The following is a 27848-nucleotide window of genomic DNA, read 5'->3' as shown; positions in this document are numbered from 1 at the left end:
TTCTACAGGTAAGTCTTTCACCATCTTTATAGCCCAGTGGTCAAATAGCAGCTCGGGATCAGACAGGTGAGGCTGCATCAGTTTCACTTCCGCTCTGCAGTTCATTATCTGTGTGGCCTTGGGCAGCGTCCGGGACTTCTCTGATTTCCTGTAAACCAGGCTTGCTAATGCTGCCCCCATAAGATTGTTGTCATTTTAAAACAAGAAAATTCAGGCAATTCGTGTAACCTGGTGCTTGGCACATGGTGAAGGCTCGATTAATGGTGGCTACTGCTCCTTCCACCTGGCTGCCCACTGGGAGGACAGATGACAGGAAAGGAAAGAGCTCTGCTGACGGTCGGAAGGTAACGTAGTACCATCCTCTATGAGCAGTAAAGCTGAAGAAGCCCAGTATAATGAGCCAGCACTCCCCTTTTAGGATATTCTAGAAAAGTTCCCATATACAGACAAGGAGGCAAGGCCAAGTGTGTTCACCACAGCATTGTTTGTTATGAGGAAAAATGGAAATAACCTAAATGTCCCAGAATAAGAGAACTGGTAAATATGTTGTGATATTTATACAACCAATAGCATACAGAAGAGGAAAATGAATGAAACAGAAACACAAGGAAAAACTTCAAAAGTATAATATTGTGGGAGAAAAACAGATTGCAGAATAATACATGCAGTGTGACAGTAACTTCTTATAAAATTTCAAACATATAAAACAGCAGTGTGCATTGTATTGGCACACATACATGTAGAGAAGTATAAACATATGTATGGGAGTAATACAGATAAATTCAGAACCATGATTACTTTAGGGAGAGGATATATTTAGGGACCCTCAACTGTATCTATTTTACCTTTTTAAAGGATCTGAAGTAAATGTGGGGCAAAATGTTAAGATCTGATAAAGCTGGTTTGTGGGTGCATGGGTATTTTTATATTATTCTCTATATACATTTAAAAAGTCTGTAATATTTCATAACAAAAAAACTAATGGTCTTACATGTTGAAATAGTACTCACAGAAATTAATTCCTTATAACCTATAACATTCTTCATTGTATCTATTAAATATGATTGGTTTTGGCGGGGGGGCGGGGGGGCCGTGGTTCACACCTGTAATCCCAGCACTTTGGGAGGCCGAGGCAGGTGGAGTCAGGAGTTTGAGACCAGCCTGACCAACATGGTGAAACCCTGTCTCTACTAAAAATACAAAAATCAGCTGGGTGTGGTAGTGGGCGCCTGTAATCCCAGCTACTCAGGAGGCTGAGGCCGGAGAATCACTTGAACCCAGGAAGCGGAGGCTGCAGTGAGCCGAGATCACACCACTGCACTCCAGCCTGGGCAACAGAGCAAGCCTCTGTTAAAAAAAAAAAAAAAGACTGGTGTCTTTTATTTCATAGATGGTCCACAAGAGGGAGATCTAGAATAATTATGTGTAAGGAGAACAGCCTCCTAGGGCTTGTCGGGAGTGCTATGGAAACCAGGTGTCATCGGACAGTCCTACCGCCCTCTGGCAGGAGAGGCGATGCCCCTACCCCTTGTTCCCAAACCTACACAACAACTCCTTACGGCAAAGAGGACACATCACAGGGCGCAGTGACAATCTGAACCGTGTTGTGTTTTCTTGTTTTGTTTTGTTTGAGACGGAGTCTCGCTCTGTCGCCAGGCTGGAGTGCAGTGGCGCGATCTTGGCTCAGTGGAACCTCCGCCTCCCGGGTTCACGCCATTCTCCTGCCTCAGCCTCCCGAGTAGCTGGGATTACAGGCGCCCGCCACCACGCCCGGCTAATTTTTATATTTTTAGTAGAGACGGGGTTTCACCATGTTAGCCAGGATGGTCTCGATCTCTTGACCTTGTGATCCGCCCGTCTCTGCCTCCCAAAGTGCTGGGATTACAGGCGTGAGCCACCGCACCCGGCCTGAACAGTGTTTTAAAAAACACAATGTAACAAATTGTTGGCAGAGTAAGTAACACCCAGCAGCTAGAGGAAGGGAGTTGAGAGTGCAGGCAAACAGGCGCGACCCACGGGTGTCCCTGGCACCTATGGCGGGTGCTCCCTCCATTCCTTTGGGACGCTTCCTAAGGCGCTGTTTTTCTTGTTATTCTGTACACTTGATTCCCTCGAATTCTCAGGAAAATGCTGCCAGCGGCCAATTCACCAGTAAAGAGCTTTTATTACACAATCATATAATAAATATGACCTCAGAGCTGGCTTTTATCCAGGCTAATGCCCACAGAGAGGGGACCGTGTTCTGGCCACCTTTGGAGACTGGGCTTCCTATTGAGGGTTGGGAGCCTTCTCCTAAAGAACTAATCAACCAGAAACCAGAAGTGAGTCTTAGAAAACAGCAGGCACCACCCCTCTGATGTCATCTTTGAAAGAACCAAGAAAATCTTGCCTTTCAAGGATAGAGCTCTCTCCAGTGCAGCTCACAGGAAATTAAGCACTACGTTTCAATGAAGACGGGAGTGAGTGTAAATTCTGATTTCACCACCTACTAATTGCATGCCCTTGGGGAAGCGAATTAGCCTTGTTAAGTCTATTTCCTTTCTTTGTAAAACTAGGAAAATATTACTTACATCATGTGCAAGTTGCTCTAAGAGTGAAATGGACACTAGTAGAGTGGCACATTTCTTGATTCATTTTTAAGAACTGACGGTATACCAGGTCAAGAATTTGCTCCGCTCACACCTGTAATCCCAGCACTTTGGGAGGCAGAGGCAGGCGGATCACGAGGTCAGGAGATCGAGACCGTCCTGGCTAACACAGTGAAACCCCGTCTCTACTAAAAAAAATACAAAAAATTAGCCGGGCTTGGTGGCGGGCGCCTGTAGTCCCAGCTACTCGGGAGGCTGAGGCAGGAGAATGGCGTGAACCCGGGAGGCGGAGCTTGCAGTGAGCTGAGATCGCGCCACTGCACTCCAGCCTGGGCGACAGGGTGAGACTCTGTCTCAAAACAACAACAACAACAAAAAGAATTTGCTCCATAAATGTTAGTTTGTTTTTCCTTTCCCCTAAACAAGGGAGAAAGGAATTAGTTTCATGATGGCTGTCCTGTAGAAGAGATGATGAAAGGCTTTTGCGTTCATATTGGTGCCCCATCACTAACATTATTTGGAGAAAGATATTTCTTTGTATATATGTGTATACAAATATACAGTTATACAAATATACATTGTATGCAAATAACACACATATAAATATATGTTAGGTGTGTGTATGTTTATTATACTATACTCTGGTTTCCAAAAGGGATTTGCATCACTTTAAGAAAAAAAACAAGATAGTTAAAAATCATGCAGTCATTTAAATACTTTTATTCTCTGCTGGTGGGAGTGCCAATCAGCACAACATTTCTGAAATGCATTTTGTTATATCAAGAGTCTTAAAATGTTTATTTCGGACACTTCTAGAAATTTATTCTAAGTAAATATTAAAAATCAAAGGAAACTATGTTTTAAAATAGTTTATTACAAACATTATTTTAACAACAAAATTTGGAAACTTCCCATATGCTTAACAGTGAAGAGAAAAGGTAAATAAATAATTGGAAATGCTATAATATCCAGTGAAAAATCAGGAAATACACAAAAATTGTGTATACAGTATGATTGCAACTATGTATAGCTGTAGAGACACACACACAAAAAGACTGGAAATTATCACCTATAATTTCACCATTTCTTTGTGTGATTCAGTATTTTCAAATTTTGGAAGGTTACTTTCATAAAAGAAAATATAAACATAATATTAAAACAACAATAAAAAATAGTTTCTTTGAGAGAGGTAAGAAAAGATCAATGCCTTCCCAGATGTTGATCCCCCAGCCTGTTTCAGACGTCATCCTGTTTGAGCTAACCGCGGCATCTGACGCTGCAGACCATTCCTGCTTCCAGGAATCCTTTTCCAGTGATGTCTGCAGCCCTTGGCTGTGCGTGAAGAGTGCTGTGATTGATTGATAATGCCTGACATGGGCAACGGAGAGCAGGAGTGGGGCCATGTGCTCTACGCACTTGCCATCTTTGTTCTACGTTTCCCTTGATAATTGCCCTCATTCCCATGGCATCGCTTCTCATGCTCATGCCAATGATTCAAGCCTACATCCCTCTCTCACCTCCTTACCCACCTATTCCACTCCATCTAGTCTTGCTATCAGTCGTCTTGAACTTCACAGGTACAAACTGAACTTTCTTCCTTTTCTCTTCCTACTCAGAAACTTCCCCCTTTTCTCTCTTCCCCCATTATGTCAGTACTCACCTGGTTTTTAAAGGTCAAAACCTTTAAAGGTAAAACCTTGCATCATTCTTATCTTTTTCCATCTTTTCCTCCCAACCCACTGAGTCATGGAGCCCTAGGTGTGACCTCAGAAATATGGAGCTGCCCTGGTCCGGCCTGCGTTGCTTCCACGTCCACCTATTCCAGCAGCTGCCAAACTGGCTTCTCCCTGTTTCTGTCCTCCTCCACTTTTGTTGCCAGGGTTATGGTGTCATCGTCGAAGTAGAGACTCATTTGCCTGCCTGAAGACCTCTGTTGCCACCCTTGGCCGGCTGCTGGTTCACCGACTGCACTTCCCCCGTGCCCGCCTCACCACCTGCTCCCTTGTCCCGCATTGTGGTGGCTCGTGTGCCCGGCTGGGTGCCTTTCTGCCTGCAGGGCCTCTTGTCCTCCTATCCCAGATTTAGTTCAGAGGCCTCTTCTTGGAAATGCCGCCCCAGTGTCCACAGTTGGACGTCCTCTGTGTCCTGCTGGGTGTTCCCTGCAGTCCCCCATTACCTGGGCTGGTGTCTGTGGCTCCTCCAGGAGGCACCCGTGACCCCACCACCTCGGGAGCCCACGGGGCTGACAGCCTGCTCCTAAAAACATGTTGCTGAGGTCAGGTGCGGTGGCTCACGCCTGTAATCCCAGCACTTTGGGAGGCCAAGGCAGGTGGATCATGAGGTCAGGAGTTTGAGACCAGTCTGGCCAATATGGTGAAACCCCGTCTATATTAAAAATACAAAAATTAGCCAGGCATGGTGGCACACACCTGTCATCCCAGCTACTCAGGAGGCTGAGGCAGGAGAATTGCTTGAACCCGGGAGGCGGAGGTTGCAGTGAGCCAAGATCGCGCCACTGTGCTCCAGCCTGGGTGACAGAGGAAAACTCTATCTCAAAAAACAAAACAAAATAAAACAACAACAGCAACAAATGTTGCTGAGTGAATGAATGAGAACAGAGGGGGTTAGATATTTTCACCAGAACCTGAGAAAAGACTGTCTTTGTATTTGAGCATTCCATGTGTACGATATTCCTGGTAGTTATGAAAGATCAGAAGCAGAAGGGATTACACAGTTCTCATTGTCTATTCCCGTATTAGATCTTTAGGAGGAAGAACTGTTTTGGGCCCTAGGGCCCAGTGGCATTTGCTCATTTGAATCCCCTTGTCCAACACCCTCGCCCCAAGCTCCGGGGCCAGCCTGAGGAAGGACACACCGGGAGGTGTGCGTGATGATGACAGGGATAAAAACACCAGTCCTGGCTGAGTGGTGTGGTAGCTCATGTCTGTAATCCCAGCACTTTGAGAGGCCGAGGTAGGGGGATCACTTGAGGTCAGGAGTTTGAGATCAGCCTGGCCAACATTGTGAAACCCCGTCTCCACTAAAAATACAAAAATTAACCAGCTGTGGTGGTGTGTGCCTGTAATCCCAACTACTCGGGAGGCTGAGGCAGGAGAATCGCTTGAACCCAGGAGGCAGAGGTTGCAGTGAGCCGAGATGGTGCCACTGCACTCCAGCCTGGGTGACAGAGCGAGACTCCATCTCAAAAAACAAAAATAAAAACAAAACACTGTTCCTTGTGTTTTAGTCCCTGTCCAGAGGATCCCTGAGATCCCAGCGTCCAAACACCTCCCTCCACCTGATGGGGCCCCAGGGTGGCACAAACGATCTCCTTGGCAGTCCTTGAAGCTTCCTGGGAGCTGCTAGGAGGTGATGGGTGGCAGGTGGCAGGTGGCGATATCGTCCCTCCCCTCTGCCATTTCCCTCCACGCCCCACCCCTCCTGTAGATGACCACTTTGCCCCAGCTCAGAAATGCACCTCTGGTGTAAATTTACATTATTTTTATTGCAATAGTACTTTAAATACACAAATGCAAAGTACTTTAAGTATGTGAAAGGTTGAACTCCTTGTACTTAACTAGGAAAACATATGTACAAACGAAACCTCAAATCCCTGTAGAGTATAATAATTTAATGTGAGGGATGAGGCTCTTTGGCTGAAATACAATCTCTAAAGTTTGTTTTAACAGGGAAAAAATAATGCAGTCATAGGTCTGGTTTAATGTTTAATCTGCTTTAGTATTTTTAGCTTTAATAATAATATAGATAATGTCTTTTCATATCAGTGTATTTTGCAAAATGTCATGATTAACGTAAGGGCTTTGTTAGCTGGTTTACATTCATCAACCCTTGTATTTAACCAGATCCTGCTACCAAGCAACCTGAAATGTCAATTTAAGTGAGATAGCATTACACACTGTAAAACCATTGCTCAAATAGAGTTAGCAATAGGGTGATGTTGTTATCTACATTAAAAAATACCTAGTTTAATACTGCCAGGCTCAGGAATAGAAATTAAAATTGGTTATTAATCCCAGCAGAAAGACAAAAAAAAATCTCAGTTCAGCATAGGCTGTGGAAGGAAAGCAAATGAATGCTGGAAATGATGCATTTGTGCAATTTCAAGCATGGTCTGACCATAACTTAGGCTTTCTTACTGTCGTTTTCACTTTATCTTCACGTTAAAGTATCCAAACTGCTGGGAAACCTGCGTTTGCTCAGTGATGTTAATATCATTGGACTTTACTTGCTGCAAACCTTCATGTACATGTTACGCTGTTCTTCTCTCATTAGCTCGTGAAAGGTAAAACAGACCATCACTCCAACACAGTGCACCAAAGTCGCAACGTATGGTGTTAATCATTTAAGAAAGTGATGTTTTAACTATGAAAATAGCTGTCAATTGCAAACTATGACTGCAAAAGAAGAGTTTTATCTTTATAATGATCAAATAATTTAACATGACTACAGTATGGTTTATCGTGACTCCTGCATGTCGGGACAGTTCCAGGGAGGTGACACGGGCTCAGAATCAAATGTTATCCAGTGTCACCGGATGGACAGCAGCACCCCAGCACCTTCCTGGGTGAGCCTCTGTGCTTGTCACTACTTCTGGAGTAGCCCTGGCCAAGCCAGACTGCAGTCCCAGCTCCACCTTCTCCTTACGCAGACCTCAGGTGATGGAGCAGTCAACTTCACGAATACAGGTGGAAATACTTTGTGAAGCAAGGGGGCGAGTAGAGCCTGCAGACCCTCTGCCTCACTCCTTCTGCACAGGCAAGGCAAGCTGTGGGGAAGGAAGCTGGTCTCACCAGAGAGGGTCATCTTCCTAGGGGCTCGCAGCCCACAAGAAACTCCCTGTTATAGGTCATGGAACTGTGGGAACCCCAGCACTGATTTAGAAGGCAACAGAGATGTCAAAAGGACACTGTTATGGCAGTGGGTTCAGGCCCTGATCCACCTTGAACCTCCCTGGCTGCCAGTGTAATATCTTAGAGTGGAGACTGAATGGAGAACAACTCCCTTCTGGCCATGGTGCCACGGGGAGATAGAGGATGATTCTGAGATTACGCAAGACTTTCCTGTCCAAAATGTGTGTTCAAGGGCCAAGCACGGTCGCTCACGCCTGTAATCCCAGCAGTTTTGGAGGCCAAAGTGGGCGGATCACATGAAGTCAAGGGTTCAAGGCCAGCCTGGCCAACATGGTGAAACCCCATCTCTACTAAAAATGCAAAAATTAGCCAGGTATTGTGGCAGGTGCCTGTAATCCCAGCTACTTGGGAGGCTGAGGCAGAAGAATTGCTTGAACCTGGGAGGTGGAAGTTGCAGTGAGTCAAGATCGTGCCACTGCATTCCAGCCTGGGCGAGAGAGTGAGCCTCCATCTCAAACAAAAAACCAAACCAAACCAAAACAAAACAAAAAAACCCAAAAAACAAAGTGTGTGTTCAAGGAATTAGTCTCAAAGGAGCATTCAACCCAGCACAGTTTTGACAAAGTCAAATAAGAGTAGCTCCCGTCTTGTCGTGTGCCAGGCACCTTGCTAAACGCTATAAGCCTTGGTTTTTCCTCCCATTTAACAATGTTTGGGTACCTGTTGCTGTGTACAAACCATCCCAAATCTCAGTGGTTAAAGAGAGCCATTCAGTTCGCCCCAGGATTCTGAGGGTTGACTAGATTCAGTGGGACAGTCTTCTGTCCCACGTGGTGTCCACTGAGGCTGCGGCCACCTGGGGACTGGCCTGCACTGCTCACTCGGGTCTGGGGCCCTGGCAGGGACAGGTGGAAGGTCAGGTTGTGCTGGGATTTGGGGATGGCTGGGCCTCTCCCTCTTCTACACACCTCTCCATGTAGCGTTTTCACCTGGAGGTGGAGAAGCAGGGCAGACAGACTTCTTCCTCAATGGTGCAGAGCTTCCCAAAGTACAAAAGTAGAAGCCACCAGGTTTTCTCGTGGCCTAGACTGGGAGTGGCACAGCATCATTCTGGCGCTTTCTGTTGGCAAAGCGAGGCACAGGGCCAGCCCGGATGCAGAGTGGGAGGAGCCGCACAGGGACATGGAGCACGGCAGGGGTGGTGGTTGTCACTCAAGGAGGCAGAGGCTCAGGAAGATGGAGTCACTTGAGTTCACATAGCTGCTGACTGGTCTATTGCCAAGATTCACAATTCAAATTCAGGTCAGCCAAACTTCAAACCCAGATTCTTCCCTGCTGCTAAACTGATCATAACCCAGGACATACAGAAAAGAGGGGCAGAGGCTAAACCGTGTCACAAAAGCTAAGAACCATCCTGAACGAAGGCTTGCAAGTCATGCTGAGTCAACTTTTAAAATAGATTTTAGTCATGCTCAGAAAAACAGGAACAAGAAAGAAGAGGCTCCCCGCTTGGGACAGATGGTGACATTAAACAGATGAAAACACAGAGCTGCTGAACTCTTATTTGGCTTCTATTCTATCCAGGATCATTATCTTCAAACTGTGAAGGGCAGAGCAAACATCAGTCCGAGGGAGGCTGTGTTCTGTGTAGATTCTGAGTCGGAAGTCCTGGGGTTTGCTCAGCTCTGCCCGGCCGGCTGCTTTAACGCAGGAAACCCACACTCGTCCTCCAAGATGGTGTCCGGCACTAAGCGGAGAAAATAAAAACAAGCCCACAGGCCATCTGAAGGGCAAACGAGATGACGTTGTGACAATTAATGAGATAGCTCAGACCTAGAACAGAGCTACACTCAATCCATGTTAATTTTTATTGAGGAGGTCATGTGACCATCTGATTTGAACGAATTCGATTTCAGAGCATGAAGGAAGTACGATGTACAGAAGACACTGATGGATGTATGAGGCGCTTTAAAGAATGCAGGAGGCCGGATGTGGTGGCTCATGCCTGTAATTCCAGCACTTTGGGAGGCTGAGGCAGGTGGATCACTTGAAGTCAGGAATTTGAGACTAGCCTGGCCAACACGGTGAAACCTGTCTCTACTGAAAATACAAAAATCAGCTGAGCATGGTGGCGCACACCTTGTAGTCCTGCTACTTGGGAGGCTGAGGCCTGAGAACTGCTTGAACCCTGGAGGCGGAGGTTGTGTTGAGCCAAGATTGTGCCACTGCACTACCAGCCTGGGCAACAGAGTGAGACTCTGTCTCAAAAAAATAAATAAATAAAATAAAATAGAGAACGCTGGAAAACAGCAAAAGTGCAGGAAAACTAAAGACAAGCAACTGTGGTCCTGAGTTCCAAAAGAGGCAGGTGTTTCAACAAAATATAGACCAATACAATTGATTTTAATCCTGGACAAGGTTCTAGATGTAAATCATGATAATAGCCATACAACAAAAATCTTGCAGTCATTAAAAATCATGTTGTAAAAGCCTATTTCATGATAAGGAAGACTGTTCTCACTATAGCGAGTTGTAAAACTGATGGCAGAACAATATGTATGCTATTATCTTAATTTGGATTAAAAAAACTTGTAAATGTGCCTCTCACAAAACAAGGGTCCAAAGGTCCGAGGCCGTCCCTTTAATCCCTCTGCAGACTGGCTTTTCCTCTTTCTTTGTTCACAGGACGTCCGTCCACCAAGACTGGCTGGGCTTTCTCCAGTCTTGACCGAGCACCTAGGAGAGGGCAGCTGGCTGGCCTGGTTGACCTTTGATCTCCACTCCAGCCCAATCCGTTACAGGCACTTGGTGCAAACATGGGTGCTGGGCCCACCCCTGCGATTTGGGGGACAGTTCTCAGAGAAGATGAGGGGTCATGAGTTGGCCACGTACCCCCAAAGGTGACCACTATACAAAGCTGGCAACACGCATGAGAGAACAACAAAAATGACCCACACAAACCAGGTGTCTATTCACCAGGGGTCCAGGAGGAGATAGTTGGCACCCATAATTTACGTAATTTGAGGAGAGATTAATAAAGGGACTATTTACGAGTGTAGGGAGCCCCAGAGGATGGTGCAGAGTCCTGGAGCTGGTGACAGCAAGGCACCTCGGCTCCCTCGGCCTGAAGAGGTGAAGGAAGCAGCTCCCAGAGCCTGTAGGACCTGCCAGCAGTGGCCAGGGTACCCAGTAGCACTGAGGCCACCGCAGGGAGGGAACGGGGAGGACACATTCCCAACTTCTATTCTCCTCCTCCCTCGGTCCAGTGGCCCAGGGGTGCCATCCACTGGTCCAAGCCCACCAGAAGCCAGAGGTCAAGGTGCCCGTTGAGGCAGCTCATGAATCTGCAAACAGAAGGTATTCAGCACATCTAACGACCTTCAGCAGAATTTTGGTTTATAAAAAATGTAAGGGGTCTCAGATGTAGATTCTGTTCCACAGCCAGCCATTTTCAAGGAGCATCATTTTGGGACCACCATTTTCATGTCTCCAGAAATTAAATGGCTGATTAACATTCTTCTATGGGGTCATGACAATGAGCTGTTCTCTTATTTAGCAGTTGGGTCATTTCCAAGTTTCACCCTGACGTCTTTCGGTTTGGTAATGGTCTGCTGTAGAACACCACGTCCTCCCTTTCCCCACAGACTTGCCACTTGGCATTGTAATTGTCTGCTGTCTGTTTGTCTGCCTTCCTCCTAGACTGTCTTGCCCTTGAGTTCCTTTGTCTCTGTAGCCCAGCTCCTAACAATGCCTGGCACAGAATAGGCACTTAATAAATATTTGCGGAACATAAGAAAATGAACGAATAACAAGACAGCAAGTGAAGGCTGGATCCTGGCCCAAGGGCGTGAATTTCTCTCATCTTTGATGTACACCCCAGGGTGCCGATGAAAGTGCCAGAATGTGCCACCCTAGCTTGGTGTTGAGGCAGCAGGCTGCAAGTGAAAGAGGTCGGGCTTCACTCCTATACTTCCCAGGTTTTCAGAGCACGTTCCCTAATATCTCTGCCTCTCGGTTCCCTCTTTGCGTAACAGGGGCACGGGTTCTTACAGGTTTAGCCCCGTGTTTCTAATCCTCAAAGCTCTGTCGCTATTATTCTCTTCCCTTTTTCAGTAGCATTATTACCCAAGAATATGTTAGGCAATTGTGTTGAGATAGAAAAGGGAAAAATGCCAGAAAAGAAGGTCAAGCTAAGTGCTCTATTAAGAAAAGTGCAAGATTATAATGGAGAGAAACCAAAGGGCAGCGGCACCAGCAGGAGACAGGGAGCTGAAGCTGTGACCGAAGACTTCCAGAACCAAGACAAACGCACATCTCAGATTCACCTCGAATTCCTGCAGATTCTTTTTTTTTTTTTTTTCTGAGAGTCTTGCTCTGTTGCCCAGGCTGGAGTGCAGTGGCATGATCTTTGCTCACTGCAGCCTCCGCCTCCTGGGTTCAAGCAATTCTCCTGCCTCAGCCTACCGAGTAGCTGGGCTTACAGGCACCCGCCACCTCACCCGGCTAATTTTTGTATTTTTATTAGAAACGGTTTCACCATGTTGGCCAGAGTGATCTCGAACTCCTGACCTCATGATCTGCCCACCTCCGCCTCCCAAATTGTTGGGATTACAGGCGTGAGCCACTGTGCCTGGACGAATTCCTACAGATTTTTAATTGTTCAATATTTAACAAATGTGCTTCTTGGAAAAGTCTTGATGCACCTGACGAAATCTTATCCAGTGACAAGTTTTTATATTTCAAGCTGAATAATCATAATAAAACAAGTGAAACTGCTGCCAGCTTAAGATGAAGAGTTGGCGGGGCCTCACCAATTTTCACTGGTTCTGTGATAACAATTAGTAAATTATTGGAACCCCTGTTTCTTTTATATTTATTTATTTTTTATTTTTGGAGACAGGGTGTCACTCCAGTTGCCCAGGCTAGAGTGCAGTGGCGCAATCTCGGCTCACTGCAGCCTCGACCTCCCGGGCTCAGGTGATTCTCCCACCTCAGTCCCTATTTCTGTTAAACTTTTCTTTCTGTTAGTGTCTAGCTCCTTCATTCCCATTTCAAGTTGAATTTCAAACTCTCTGAGGGATAGTCAATTTCCAGTTGGCCCTTCCTGAAAGTAAGTTTAGGTGTTTCCTGGGCCCCTCCTCCCAGGCAGGTCCAGAATTCCAGGCTCTGGTCCTTCTAGCACTGGGAGGCTGCCGGAAGCTCTGTGTGGCCTCTTTGCAGCTGCCCTCTTCTTGGTTTCTTGGCCTCTCACCATTGTGTGCAGGAAGGACTTAGCCAATGCCTGGGAGCCTGGATGGTGGACAGACAACAGGCCGGCTTCCCTTGCCTCAGGGATCTTGGCCCTCAAGTCCTGGCAATGAAAGTTGACTTTCTTTCCTTTGCCTTTTATTTCCTACCATTTGGAGTTGGGAGTGGAAGTCAAGCAAGCCACATGTTTTCTTGCAGGAGAACAGTTTCCCCCTGGAGTCCTGTGTGCTGCCTCAGCCTTATGATTCCTATTCTTCAGCTCCACCAGCCTCAGCCACCCGTTCACATGGCTGACACTAGATTTTGTTATAACCAAGCCCTGTACTACCTCTGAAACCTCAATTCCCAGCATCCGCTGCCGCCGCCTTTTGTCCTCCTGGCTCACTCGCTCTGCACTCCCACGTCAACCATTCCCCCACCTGGATGAGGCTCTCCTCCCCAGCCCACATCTTCCCACTCCCCAGCATTCCCCGCTCTCACCTCCTGCCCCCTCAAACCCCAGTTTCATTCTGACTGCTGCTTTGCGAACCCCCTAACCTCCCTTGCTCATTTCTCCCTCTGACATATAGCCTCAATGATGATCGAGCCCAGCCATTTCTCACGCTACATTAGGTGCTGGACATGGCTGGAGAACCTTCCAAATCGGTTTCGAATGGGCACTCGACCGAGCCATGTTTCCCAGCTCTCAGTTGATGACTTCACCAAAGCTGACAGATAAAATATGTGCTATCAGGCTGGGTGCGGTGGCTCATACCTGTAGTCCCAACACTTTGGGAGGCTGAGGCGGGCAGATCACTTGAGGTCAGGAGTTCAAGACCAGCCTGGCCAACATGGTGGAACCTCGTCTCTATGAAAAATACAAAAATTAGCTGAGTGTGGTGGCTTGTGTCCATAGTCCCAGCTGCTTGGGAGGCTGAGGCAGGAGAATTGCTTCAACCTGGGTGGTGGAGGATGCAGTGAGCCAAGACTGCGCCACTGTAGCCACTGTACTCCAGCCTAGGTGACAGACCGAGACTCTATCTCAAAAAAAAAAAAAAAAAACAGGGCTTGCCATCTTCCGGACCTCAGTCCCACTGACATCCTACCTGTGTCACCAGGGAGCTCCTTCTCTCTCTGTCCTCTAAACATTGCGACCTCAACGTCCTGTTCTTGGGTTTCATCTCTGTCTATACCCCTTCCCTAGGTAATTGTTCAGGATTGAATAGTGTCCTTCCAAGGTTCCTGTCCACCACAACCTTATTTGGAAATAGGGTCTTTGTACATTTAAGCAGGTTAAGATGAGGTCATACTGGAGCAGGGTAGACCCTCATCCAATGACTGGTGTCTTCTTATAGGAGGGAGATTTGGACATAGATAGAGGTGAAAAGGCCATCTGATGACAGAGGCAGAGATGGAGTGATGCAACTGCAGGCTGAGGACTTCCAGTGATGCAAAAGATGGACCAGAAGTTGAAAGAGGCTGGGAAAGATTCTCTTCTAGAGCTTCCGGAGAGGGGGTGCTCCTGCTGACACCCAATGCTGGACTTCCAGCCTCCAGAATTTTGACAGCATAAGCAGCTGTTGCTTTACATCACCCAATTTGTGCACTCTGCTATGACAGTCACAAGAAACCAACACAGTAATCCTTTGACTTCTACCATCTCTGCACTGATGATACTGAAAATACATAACTTCACTGCTTTCCTTGTATCTGAGTTCCAGGCAGGACTACAAACCATTTGCTCAGCATCATCCTTTGGATATCAAAAGGCGCCTCAAACTTACCATGGCCCAAAGAGAACTACTGAATGCCCCTACATCTGCCCCCTGCAAGCCTTCTCCCTGCTCAGTAAATAAAACCCACGCAGTTTCTCAGGCAAAACTCATCATGTTCTCTCGTACTTTCGCTCTATCACCTTTTTATTTTTCTTTTTGAGACAGGGTCTCACTCTGTCACCCAGGCTGGAGTATAGTCCCCCAGTCACAGCTCACTGAAGACTTGACCTCCCATGCTCAAGCGATCCTTCCACCGCAGCCTTCCAAGTAGCTGGAACTGCAGGTGCACGGCACCAAACCCAGCTAATTGAGTTATTTTTTGTAGCGACGGGGTTTCACCATGTTGTCTAGGCTGGTCTTGAACTCCTGGACTCGAGTGATTCACTTGCCTTGGCCTCCGAAACTGCTGGGATTACAGGTGTGAGTCACCGTGCCCAGCCACTATATAAAGCTAGAACCTCAGTGCAGGTCCCCATCAGCCCTGGCCTGGACCATCGTCTCTCACCTGGACAACTTCCTGTGTCCCAGCTTCTGCTTGGACTCCTCACATACAGGGCATCCCACATGCAGCTGCTGCGGTGGCTGCTCTGCGGAGGAAATCGGAGTGGGCCTCTCCTGACCCCAGGGGTGAAAGGCATGTACTTGCCAAAGGACAGCGGCCCTGTACTGCTGCTTCCTGCTCTCCCCACTACCAGCCTGGCCTTCCCGCTGACTCTTGCCTGGGTTAAGCTGGTTCTGAGGGCCCATGTGGGAGACTATGCTCCTGTCCCACTGGGGGAAAAGAGACAAAGTGCAGCTCTCCTATTTAGATAAACTCCTGAGGCCAGGAGCGGTGGCTCATGCCTGTAATTCCAGCACTTTGGGAGGCTGAGGCGGACAGATCACCTGAAGTCAGGAGTTCAAGACCAGCGAGGTCAACATGGCGAAACCCCATCTCTACCAAAAATACAAAAATTAACCAGCCATGCTGGTGCATGCCTATGATCTCAGCTACTTGGGAGGCTGAGGCAGGAGAATCGCTTGAACCCAGGAGGCAGAGCTTGCAGCAAGATGAGATCAGGCCACTGCACTCCAGCCTGGGTGACAGAGCAAGGCTCTGTCTCAAAAAAAAAGAAAAAGAAAAAAGAAAAAATCTCCTGAAGAAGTGCTGCCAATGTGTCCCGGTGGCGAACATTCATCCAGCACCTCTTTGGACAGTAACAGCTATTCTCTTCACACTTTTATTTCTTTGTTTTTATTTTTAGAGACAGAATCTCTCTCTGTCACCCAGGCTGGAGTGGCCCCAGCATAGCTCACTGCAGCCTAAACCTTTGAGGTCAAGTAATCCTCCTTCCTCAGCTTCCTGAGTAGCTGGGACCATAGGTGCACGCTGCTATGTATGCCCGGCTTTATCGGAGTTTACAATTTACAGGTTGTTTTCACATCTATTGTTTTCTTTTGAATCCCAAAGCAGCATTTTGTGGTATGATTCTGTTATCTCCATTGGACAGATTAGGAAACTGAGGCTCAGAGGGTGGGAAGAGGCGAAGGCAGCTGTGGTTCACTAAACCCTTGCCATGCCGGCACATCAGACATCTCATTTCATTTGTTTTCACAGGAAGCCCTGTTGGTGTTTGTTCTGCTTCCAATGCCAGGTAGTTGCTGGCTCTGTTCTTGTCTCTCCAGTCTTTTCTGAGAGGCCCTTCCAGTGTGCCACAGCTAGAGCAACTCCTCTGCTCCACGCTTCCACACATCACCTCCATAGCCCTATCCCCATCTGACGGGCTCTGCATGTGTTTGCTTAAGTGAGTCTCACTCCTGCTACTGGAATGCTTCTTGAAGACAGCGGCTCAGCTGTGTTCCCTGCAGCACCTGCACCCGCTAGTCCAGGGCCTGGGCTCTGTTAGATAGAAGGTCCTCAACAATTTGTTTTTTCACCAGTGAACGAGCCTCAGAGCCCATTGTGAACAGACGCTGTGGATCTGGATTACCCCTTGAATATGCAGCTCCATTTGAGGAACCAAAAGGAAAAAAAACGATTTCCTTATACTGCGCTGCTTTCCCTGGAACTTAACTTCAAGAAGCAGTGCTTTGTCTAAGAATCTCCCAAACAAATGCAATAAAACCCCAGCCGCTGTGCACAGCCAAGGGCGTTCCTGCCATGCCTGGGGCCAGCTGTGCCCAAGCAGTCCAGCCACACCTTCTCCACCAGCATTGGGAATGGGTGTAGAACCCCAAAAGGAGAATACTTCCCTTGTGAACAGACCATCTCTTCTAGGCTGAGCAGGGTCATTATCTAGAATTTACAAGGTGCTGGCTGTTTACACAGTACTTTGTTCTATTTTACTAAGGTAGCAAGGTCTAGAGCAAACATTCACACGCAGATACAAAAGTTGAATCAGAAAACCCTGGATTTATTCCCAGGTTTGCTGCTGACTTAGGGGATTTTTCTAAAGGTCGTCTGACTTCTTGATGCCTGTAGAGTGAAGCTTGCCCTTGCTTTACTACACAGAGATGTTGCAAAACTAAACGAGATGTTGGTGAAATGTCTCAGACACGTGGAATAATAGGGTGGACTTTATTCCCCAGTGCATTGTCACCTAAGATGTCTGTTTCACTAAATCCACTGCGAGAAGAGGAAGCTAAAGCAACCATAATGGGCCTTCAGCCCTGGGGGGCCCTTGTCCCCTGGTAAGTCCAGGGCTTACCTGTGTATTCCTCAAGGTTTGTGGTAGAAAAATAGGGCCTCGGGACTGTCAGGATCTTGCTACCCACCCTAGCCACGCTGTTGGGGATTTTTCAAATCTGGAGGGAAGCCCCTACGTGTTCTCTGCTTCTGGCCAAGGCACTATGTCCCCATCCCAATTGTCCTTAGGTTTCTAGAAAACACAAAAGCCATAGGGGCTTGCTGGCTCTCCCATCCCTCCCCTGAAGCAAAAAGTAAAAAGAGAGATTGGCCGAGTGTGGTGGCTCACGCCTGTAATCCCAGCACTTTAGGAGGCTGACGGGGGCGGATCACAAGGTCAGGAGATCGAGACCATCCTGGCCAACATGGTGAAACCCCATCTCTACTAAAAATACAAAAATTAGCTGGGCGTGGTGGCACGTGCCTGTAATCCCAGCCACTCGGGAGACTGAGGCAGGGAGTCGGAGGTTGCAGTGAGCCAAGGTCGCGCCACTGCACTGTAGCCTGGCAACAGAGTGAGACTGCATCTCAAAAAAAAAAAAGAAAAAAAGAAAAAAAAAGAGATTTCTTGCTTGAAGTGGGAGAAAGGAAAGTGGGAACGAATGCTGTGGGTCCAAAAGATACTAATATATTGCAGTCTGAATCCCCAGGACCTCAGAATGTGACCTTATTTGGAAGCAGGGCCATTGCAGGTGTAATTAGTTAAGATGAGGTCATCCTGGAGTAGGTGAGCCCCTGATGCATAAGGGCCAGTGTCCTTATAAGAAGATGGCCTGGCCGGGCACAGTGGCACAGTGGCTCACGCCTGCAATCCCAGCACTTTGAGAGGCTGAGGCAGGAGGATTACTTGCTTCCAGGAGTTTGAGACCAGCCTGGACAACATCATCAGACCCATCTCTACTGAAAACAAAAAATTGGCTGGGCATGGTGGCGCACAACTGTAGTCCCAGCTACTGGGGAGGCTGAGGCAGGAGGATCCCTTAAGCCCAGGAGGTTGAGGCTGCAGTGAGCCGTGATCAGACACATGGAGGATCCCCATGTGAAGATGGAGGATTGGAACAACACATCTAAAGCCGAGGAACACGAGGGTTTGCAGCAACCACCAAGAGCCAGGAAGAATTTCCTGCAGGCTTCAGAGGGAGCACGGCCCTGCAGGGAAGCTAATGTAGACAGGCATTGAAAAGCACAGATTATGCCTCAAAATATTTCCCCTCATCTCCACAAATCACGAGAAAAAAATCAAAAATTACTGAAGTTACTTGTTAGTTGGTTAGCAGAGGGACAGTAGATTTGGACTTTTTTTTTTTTTAGGCCAAATTTAGCAGTGGGGGTCTATATACCAATTTTAGTGACACTAATGTTAATAAGTTCCGATAACTCAACACCATCGGGCCAGCTGATTCCGACTCTGAAGAAGAGGTAAAGGATGAGTACAGGCCATCAGGGAAGAAATGAGGACAGCTTTTCAGGGGATGAGTACAGGCCATCAGGGAAGAAATGAGGACAGCTTTTTGGGACCACAGCAGGGGTATGTTTGAGGGAGTTGCAGAAATGAGGCTGGACAGGCAGCATGAAATGTTGAATGCCGAAGGTCTTTAAAATGATTGATTGGTTTTATTCATGGGAAACTAATTTAAGTTTTAAAGCCGGGAATTACTATAGCAAATGCAGTTATTTAACAAAATGTAGGAAAAAACAAAACAAAACAAAAAAGGGCTCTGAATCAGAACCAGGTCCAAATGCTGATTTCCCCACTCACTAGCTGTGTGACTTAAATTAGTTTACCTCTTTGGGAATTCAGCTTTCTCAAGCCCTAAAAAGAGATACTGGGGGAATTCTGGGGAGATGCACAGAGGTGGTAGCAGCAGAGTCTTTGGATTTACTCAAATCCCCAGGTAAAAACATACAGAACAACTAAGTAGGAAAAGCAAACACCCATACACAGCATTTACAAAATAATTAGGTGTCGAGTGTCCCCATCAACCCCCAAATACATGCAGGTGGGACCAATCGCTAATGCCATAAGACCTGAACAGTGTTGGCACCTGCGTGGGAGATGCAGGGGAGTAATGGGGCACCTAACAGAACAATAGGCAGAACCTGGCTGGGCTGGTTGGTTTGAGGACTTAGGATGGTGACTGAAACTGGGAGGGGCTTTGTCTATTCCAATAGAGAATAGGAGGCTTCTGCTGCAAACCCTTCAAGGGCAGGATCGGTCCAACCTTCTAAACTCTTGAAACTGTCCCACAAGGGCCCCTGCCTGGATAAGGCCCCACACTAAGGAGAAATGTCTTGGAATAAAATCAGGATTGAGCGGAAGAGGGAGAACAGAAGTGAAGAAAAGAGAACGTCCAGATAAAAGCAAGGAAACCATGCCAGTAAACCCCGACAAGCAAGCTGCTACATGAAAACCACAGAAGGTTCTCCATTAAGTTAAAAAGAAAGAAGAAGCTATTCGAACCAAGCCTTCTTATAAAAGTCAGGAAAACCAACTTCATATAAAAAGTAGCAGCAGAAAAATATCAAGATCAAATCTCATATAAAGGTACTATTTAGAAAAAGAACAAGAGTAGAATAACATCCTTACAAACCGTGAGGGTGCACTGGAGGACATGCTCACTGGGCAGATCAAAGCTGTAATATTGCATCTCCATTGCTGCATAAGAAATTGCCACAAACTTCATACATTTATTATCGTGTAGTTTCTGTGGGTCAGGAGCCCAGGCACAGGTTAGCTGGGTTCTCTGCTCAGGGTCTCACAAGGCTGAGGCTGCAATTTCACTGGGGCTCAGGGGCCTTTTCCAAGCTCACTGGTTATTGGAAGGATTCAGTTTGTTGTGATTATAGAACTAAGACTTTTAGCTTCTAGAGGCTGCCCACTAGTTCCTGCCACATAGCCCCTTCATGGCCCAGCAGTTGACTTCTTCAAGGCCAACAGGAGAGTGTCTCTGCTGCTTTGAATCTCTCTGACTTCTCTGTCTCTGACCTCTAGGCTCTCATTAAAAGAAGTCATATGATTAGGTCAGTCCCACTCTGACCATCTTGATTAACTTAAAGCCAGCTGATTAAGAGTCTTAATTACATCTGCAAGCTCCCCTCATTTTTGCCATATAATGTAACCTAATTCTGACAATAATACTCTTTCATATTCAATAGGTCCTGCCCATGCTCAAGGGAAAGGAATTATGCATGGCAGATACACAGGCGGGGGCTATATTAGAATGTATTGAAAAAAGCTAAAAGCATTAAGAAAATGACATAGATGCAAAAGAACAACATAAATTACAATTAGAAAGTGAGTTGACAGAAGTGAGTTGACAGATATAAAAAAGAACTAGAAAGAACCATCTTAGAAATGAAGATTAAACTAGAAGAAACACAAGAAAAAAATGCAACCGATAATGAGAAGGAAAATAGAAGGGAAATTTAAAAATCCAAAAAGGACAAATAAAACAGTAGGAAGATTCAAGAGTGTGACAAATAGTGAAGATAGACAAAGAAGACCCAACACATGAATAACAAGAGTCCCTGAAGAAGAAAACCAAAGCAAGGGGTCAGAACAAATACTAAAAACTATAGTTCAAAAAACTAGTTAAGAAAACTAAAGAAAGCATTTCTGAAATAACAAAGATTTAAAACTCTATATTGAAAGAGAACACCTGAAAATATTGACCCATACAAATCAACACCAAAACATATTCTAGTAAAATTACAGGACTTTAAAAAAAAGAAAAAATAAACTTTGAGTATCTAGATAAAAGAGAGAAACTGACTTCCAAAGAATACTAGGTTATCATAAGACTTTTCAACAACAATACTTTATGCTGCAAGAGTAACAAATTTGAGTTATTCAAAGAAAGAAGATGGGAACCTGATATGGTTTGGCTCTGTGTCCCCACCCAAATCTCATCTCGAGTTGTAATCCCTATAATCCTCATATGACGAGGGAGGAACCACGTGGGAGGTGGTTGGATCATGGGGGCAGTTTCCCCCATGCTGTTCTCGTGATAGTGAGTGAGTTCTCATGAGATCTGGGGGTTTTATAAGGCAGTTTTCCCTGCTCTTGCTTACTCTCTCTCACCTGCCACCATATAAGATGTGCCTCTTTCCCTTCCACCATGATTATAAGTTTCCTGAGGCCTTTCAGCCATGTGGAACTGTGAGTTAATTAAACCTCTTTTCTTTATTAATTTATAGGAGTTTTCACACTGCTATAAAGACACACCCAAGAATGGGTAAATGGACTAATACAGAACCTAAGATTTTATATCAAGCAAAAACCTTTTTAAGTATAAAGAGCACACATCATTATTAGCATGGAAGAACTCAGAAAATACTGTTTCTTTGACTTCTTTTGAAGGAATCTACTAGAAAATAAGTTTCAGACAACTAAATTTCTGCAAATGTCAACAGAAGGACTGGTGATGAGAAGTATGTAGTTACTTGTAAAACCAAGATGAGTGAGGAGTTAAAAGAAGAGATTGTAAAATGTGATACCTATATAATCTGATGATTATGACAAATAAAGAATGAAGATAACATATATAAACAACACTTTAAGTGTTTTAATAATGATAATGTGGTAGTATTAGTATTGTTCTGGGAATATAGTGTGTGGGGTAAAGCAAATATATAATTATGAGATATTTTAATTCTATTATCCCACATATCTTTGAGAAGTAGGATTCTCAGTGTGGGGGAAAGAAGATACAGGTGGAATATAGAAATGGTTAAGTAAAAACCTTGTTTTTTCTCAATCTGAATATAAAAATCTGCTATTAACTCAAGATATACAGATTGAGATATCACATCTATCTATCTATCATCTATCTATCTATCTTCTACCTGCCTATTTATCTATCTATCTATCTATCTATCTATCTATCTCTAGATCCTATTAGGTCTGTCTCTCAAGAGGACCCTGGTGGATACAGGCATACTGATTTTTATTAACCTAATTAATTCCACTTTATTAATTTAGAGGGGTGGGTAAAGGCATCTATAAAGCACCATCAGTGCTGGGCTTCACCCCATCTTGGGATGACTTTCCAAATATTATGGGGATTAGTTGGCCCAGTAAAAGGTTAAACTTGAATTTTTCTGCATCGGAGTTTAGGTTTTGACATAGATTTGCTGATGTCAGTCTTCATGCCCATGTGACTCTTACTGGCTGAATTTGAGACAAGAAAATAAGACAGCGGAAGTTTCCAGTAGCCCAATCCTTGAATACAGTGTCTAGGTTGAGAGATAGGGCCATAACTGCCTATGTGATTAATTTTTAAGAACTTGGAGAACACTTAACTTTAAAAAGAACAACAACATCTTCACCTACTTATGTGGCTAGTGCCTAACTCCAGCTTAGAATTCTTCAAAGGTTTGATTCTTGTTAACAGTTTTACTCATCATTTTAGTGTGAAATATAGTTTCCTTACTGGCCTCAGAATAGCCAAGATACAGTCTTCCATCCTGGGCTAAACAGCCTGGTGCTCTTCCTTCAACTTGCAGTCCCTACAACACTGTGATTAGAAGGCATTTCAGGACAGTAGAGCAAAGGGCCAGGAATTGCTGTCTGTTGGTGAGTGTGACCACAAAGCAACTGAAAACTGGGAGGTAGAAGGCCAGAAGTGGGAAAATGATGCACTGTGGGGTTTTTATTTTATTTAATTAACTAATTACTTAATTAATTTTGAGACAGGGTCTCACTCTGTCACCCAGACTGGAGTGCAGTGGCACAATCTCAGCTCACTGTAACCTCCGCCTCCCAGGGGCAAGGGATTCTCCTGCCTCAGCCTCCCGAGTAGCTGGGATTACAGGTGCACACCACTACCGCCCAGCTAATTTTTGTATTTTTTAGTAGATACAGGGTTTCACCATGTTGGCCAGGCTGGTCCTGAACTCCTGACCTCAAAGGATCCACCTGCCTTGGCCTCCCACAGTGCTGGGATTACAGGCATGAGCCACCGTGCCTGGCCTAGTTTTTATTTTTTATCATAATTACACAAATATAGTCAAGTTGGTTGAAAAGTCAAATTGAAGAGATAAACACTGGACAAAGACTTCTTATTAAGACAAATAAACAAAAAGCTGTTTACTCCTAACTCCCTCTAAGAGCAACTACTTTAAAAACATTTTTCAAATGTGTTCTTTAGATATATACCTCCATATCACATATCTCTATGGGCTTTTCAAGGTTAAGTGGCGCTACATTTTATAACTTATCCAATTTCCAATGCTTGATATTCAATGATTTTTGAAAGAGAGAAGAACCCAGTGCCATAGCTTTGAAAGCTCTAAATATTGAGCCAAGAAATCTCCTATTGGCAAAGTACTCAACAAATACCCAGATGATGGCAGTTCATTACTCAGTGTTTTCATGGCGGGTTTATTTGTTCATTTTCTGTTGCTATAACAGAATACCTGAGGCTAGGTAATTTATTTTTAAGAAGAGATTTATTTGGCCCACAATTCTGGAGGCTGGGAAGTCCAAGATGCATGCCGCTGGTGCTGCTCAGCTTCTGGTGCTGCTTCACCTCGTGGCAGAAAAGCAGAAAGGCAAATGGATGTGTGCAAAAGGAATGAAACATGAGGACAAGCCTCACTTTATAAAAATCCCACGCTCAGAGTAACTCATCCAGTCCTGTGAGAGCAAGAATTAACTCAACAAAGACACTAGACACAGCATTAATCTATTCATGACGAATCTACCCTCTTAAAGGTCCCACTAGCTCTCAACACTGGCAACTACATGAGTTTTAGGCAGGGACAAACCACAGCCAAACCACAGCAGCAGGTTTGAAGGGCAGAGCTGAAATACTAGAGTCAACGTCCAGGAAATATGTATTTTATTTTATTTTATTATTTTATTTTATTTTATTTTATTTTATTTTATTTTATTTTATTTTATTTTATATTTTATTTATTTTATTTTTGAGACAGAGTCTTACTCTGTCACCCAGGCTGGAGTGCAATGGCATGATCTCCACTTACTGCAACCTCTGTCTCCCAAGTTCAAGCGATTCTTGTGCCTCAGCCTCCCAAGTGGCTGGGATTACAAGTGTGTACCACCACACCTGGCTAAAATTTTTGTATTTTTAAGTAGAGGAAGGGTTTCACTATGTTGGCCAGGCTGGTCGCAAACCCCTGACCTCAGGTGATCTGCCTACCTTGGTCTCTCAAAGTGCTGGGATTATAGGCGTGAGCCACCGCATCTGGCCAGGAAAGTGTATTTTAAATTCTTTCTTAAGATGTTGCCTTTTGTGGACTTAAAATACTCTCTGTTGGAGCATTTGTAGTGTTTGGCATGAGAATATCCCCGTAAGACATTCTTTGAACTACTACTGCTGAGCAAAAAGACGGCATGGAGCACAGGGCAAAGGGCCCACCCCAAAGGTGTCTTTTATTCCTCTGACATCGATTCTTCACCTTGAAGGTTAAGATTTATGAAAAGTCAAACCCTTCTAGGAGGAAGTATGGTGGTTCCCACAGAGCTGATAACGACCTTCCAGGATCCTTTCTCCAGATCCATTTTAATGGAAGAGAAGAGTCTACATTCCTGCCAGGAAGTCTATTTCATCTCCCTGTGCCCCCAAGATTTCCTAGTCTCTCCTTCCCTCCCAGTCCCACTTTGGAAGGGATTGGGTACACAGTGGTAGCCTACGAAAGCTGTTTAATGACAGCAGCCAGTGTTACCTTCTCAACCACAGTATTATATAAAAAAATATACGATTTATTTATTTATTTATTTATTTATTTATTTATTTAGAGACAGGGTCTCACTCCGACATCCAGGCTGGAGTGCAGTGGCACAGTGTCAGCTCACTGCAGCCTCCGCCTCTCAGGTTCAAGCAATTCTCTTGTCTCAGCCTCCCAAGTAGTTGGGATTACAGACGTGTGCCACCATGCCCGGCTAATTTTTGTGTTTTTATTAGAGACAGGGTTTTGCCATGGTGGCCAGGCTGGTCTCAAACTCCTGACCTCAAGTGATTTGCCTACCTCGGCTTCCCAAGGTACAAGGATTACAGACGTGAGCCACCACCCCTGGCCTAAATTATACATATAATTTTAAATTGTAAGGACACTATTAGATAGTTATATAAATTATACAAAACACCGTCATGATTTCAAATGTCACAGTGAAGCCCCGGCTGCACAGTTCTTTGGGGTTTCGTTGGCCCGATGCTTCCCCCTCCCCACTTCACATCTTTTCGTGGCCCCACTTGGTAATTTGGTTGCCCTACTAAAGAAAGTCTCCTCTCCTTACACACTCTTCCTCCGAGCCATAATGCGTTTTCTCTTAGATTTAGCCTTCTGGAGAAACTTTAAAGGTACACATTCAAAACTTTAGGAGTCCTCCGGGAGTGATATGGTTCACTTCTCTTCACTTTAGAGGATACTTCGGGAAGAATGGAGATTTTACAGCCTTAAGTCTCCTCGCCCGAGAATGAGACTGCCTCTCCGTTTATTCCAGTTTTCTTCGAGTCTCATGCTGAAGTTTTTGTTACTTTCTTCATCTAGGAGCTGCATGTTGCTCGCTTATGCCTTGATTTCATGAATCACATATTTCTTCCCTTTAACTTTCTAGCTGGTTATTGTTATTACAGTTTTAAAAAGCAAAAGTTTTGTGTATTTATTTTCCAGCCAGTCACTTTATAGAATTACCTTACTGGTTATAAGAGTTTTTCAGTCGATTTTAATTTGTTTACTGGGTAGGTGATTATATTATCAAATAGAAAATCTTGACTCCTTTTTAATACTTATGATTCCTGGTTTATCCAGAACTTAATGAGAATACCTCTCTTGCTTCAATGACTCTGTTGGGTATTTTTTATTACATTATGGAAATAACATTTGATTACTGTTTTACCATGGATTTGTTTAATTCAGGGAAGAATGCCGGTTTGGTTCAGATGAAGGTTCTGTATGAAGCCAGGTTGCACCAAGCATGCAGAACGTGGAATGCTGTGCCTTAGGAAGACAAATCTGATATCCGTGTGTGAGGGGGCCTGAAGGCTGAGATCAGAGATGGAGAAACCAGGCAGGTGGAGCCTCAAAGGAGAAGTTAATGGACAGCTACACAAATAAGAATTCTAAGGAAAAAAAAGGCTGGGTGCGGTGGCTCACACCTATAATCCCAGCACTTTGGGAGCCTGAGGCGAGTGGATCACCTGAGGTCAAGGGTTCGAGACCAGCCTGGCCAACATGGCAAAATCTCGTCCCTACTAAAAATACAAAAATTAGCTGGGCAGGGTGGTGGGCACCTGTAGTCCCAGCTACTTGGGAGGCTGAGGCAAGAGAATCGCTTGAACCTGGGAGGTGGAAGTTGCAGTGAGCCAAGATCCACCCTGGGTGACAGAGCCAGACCCCGTCTCAAAAACAAAACAAAACAAAACAAACAAAAACAAACAAACAAACAAAAAACCAGCAACAGAGGAGAAGGAAGAGACACCAAATGAAAGAAAGAAATAGAAGGAGCATTTCCTAAACTGGAGGAAGACTTTACCTTCAACTAGAAAGGAAATACTAAGTGCCAGTTTTAAAAAAATAATAAAGGAAATCTCATCCAGACTTATCCTGATGAAAGTTTTTAATGTTAAGGATAAAGGAAGCTAATACATGTATTAATGAAAAAAAATTTGTCTACAAAGGGAAAAAGTTAGATATACATTAGACTTTTCTACAACACGAAAGGCCAGGTGGAGCAACAGCTACGGAATTTTAGGTCAACAGATTGTGATTTCCGTAATCTACGTCCAACCAAGTTACTCAGTTGCAAGTGCAGCCAAAAGACACTCTCAGATCTACGAGGACTCATAAATATCTATTCCTGAAAAAGTGCTCTACCAAAAACTCCAGGTATCACTGTGTTTATAACTGAACATTTATACAATTTTAATGTATTTTATGTAAGTAATTGTGTGCATGTAATAGAAGTTTTGACTGTACATAAAGTATAAAATGAAAAGTAAAAATCTTTCTCCCTATAATATATTGATAGTCTCCCTCTCTCAGAGTTAGCCCATTTTAACAACTTTTGTTTCTGTTCTTCCAGTGATTACTATTTAAAAAAAATTGTCTTTCTTTCATTTATTTTTCCAAGTTGTATTTTAAGTTCAGGGGTACATGTATAGGATGCGCAGGTTTGTTACATAGGTAAAGGTGTGCCATGGTGATTTGCTGCACAAACCATCCCGTCACCTACGTATTAAGCCCAACAGTCATTAGCTATTCTTCTCGATGCCCTTCCTCCTCTTAGCCCCAGCCCTCCAACAGGCCCCAGTGTGTGTTATTCCCCCTCCACCTTGTGTCCATGTGTTCTCATCATTCAGCTCCCACTTATAAGTGAGAACATGTGATATTTGGTTTTCTCTTCCTGTGTTAGTTTGCTTAGGATAATGACTTCCAGCTCCATCCATGTCCCTGCAAAGGACATGATCTCATTCCTTTTTATGGCTGCATAGTACTCCATGGTGTATATGTACTACATTTTCTTTATCCAGTCTATCACCGAAGGGCCTTCAGGTTGGTTCCATGCCTTTGCTATTGTGAATAGTGCTGCAATGAACATATACGTGCATGTATCTTTATAATAGAATGATTTATATTCCCTTGGACATATACCCAGTAATGGGATTGCTGGGTTTGCTAGCATTCCTATACACTAACAAGTCAAGCAGAGAGCCAAATCATGAATGAACTCCCATTCACAATTACCACAAACAGAACA

At 44.9% G+C, this 27848-nt stretch overlaps 3 annotated features.

The window, feature by feature from the left end:
• Positions 1377–1426: an enhancer, noted in NCBI's record as "active region_26875". NCBI's record gives its function as "activates an Ori minimal core promoter by ATAC-STARR-seq in GM12878 lymphoblastoid cells {active_cell/tissue: GM12878}" and the evidence as "EXISTENCE:reporter gene assay evidence [ECO:0000049][PMID:35858748]".
• Positions 1447–1546: an enhancer, noted in NCBI's record as "active region_26874". NCBI's record gives its function as "activates an Ori minimal core promoter by ATAC-STARR-seq in GM12878 lymphoblastoid cells {active_cell/tissue: GM12878}" and the evidence as "EXISTENCE:reporter gene assay evidence [ECO:0000049][PMID:35858748]".
• Positions 8768–9067: an enhancer, noted in NCBI's record as "active region_26873". NCBI's record gives its function as "activates an Ori minimal core promoter by ATAC-STARR-seq in GM12878 lymphoblastoid cells {active_cell/tissue: GM12878}" and the evidence as "EXISTENCE:reporter gene assay evidence [ECO:0000049][PMID:35858748]".

Source organism: Homo sapiens, chromosome 7 (assembly GCF_000001405.40).
Source record: "Homo sapiens chromosome 7, GRCh38.p14 Primary Assembly".
NCBI classification, from domain to species: Eukaryota; Metazoa; Chordata; class Mammalia; order Primates; family Hominidae; genus Homo; species Homo sapiens.
The sequence above is the reverse complement of the archived record's forward strand: the minus strand, read 5'-3'. Positions and strand labels throughout refer to the sequence as shown.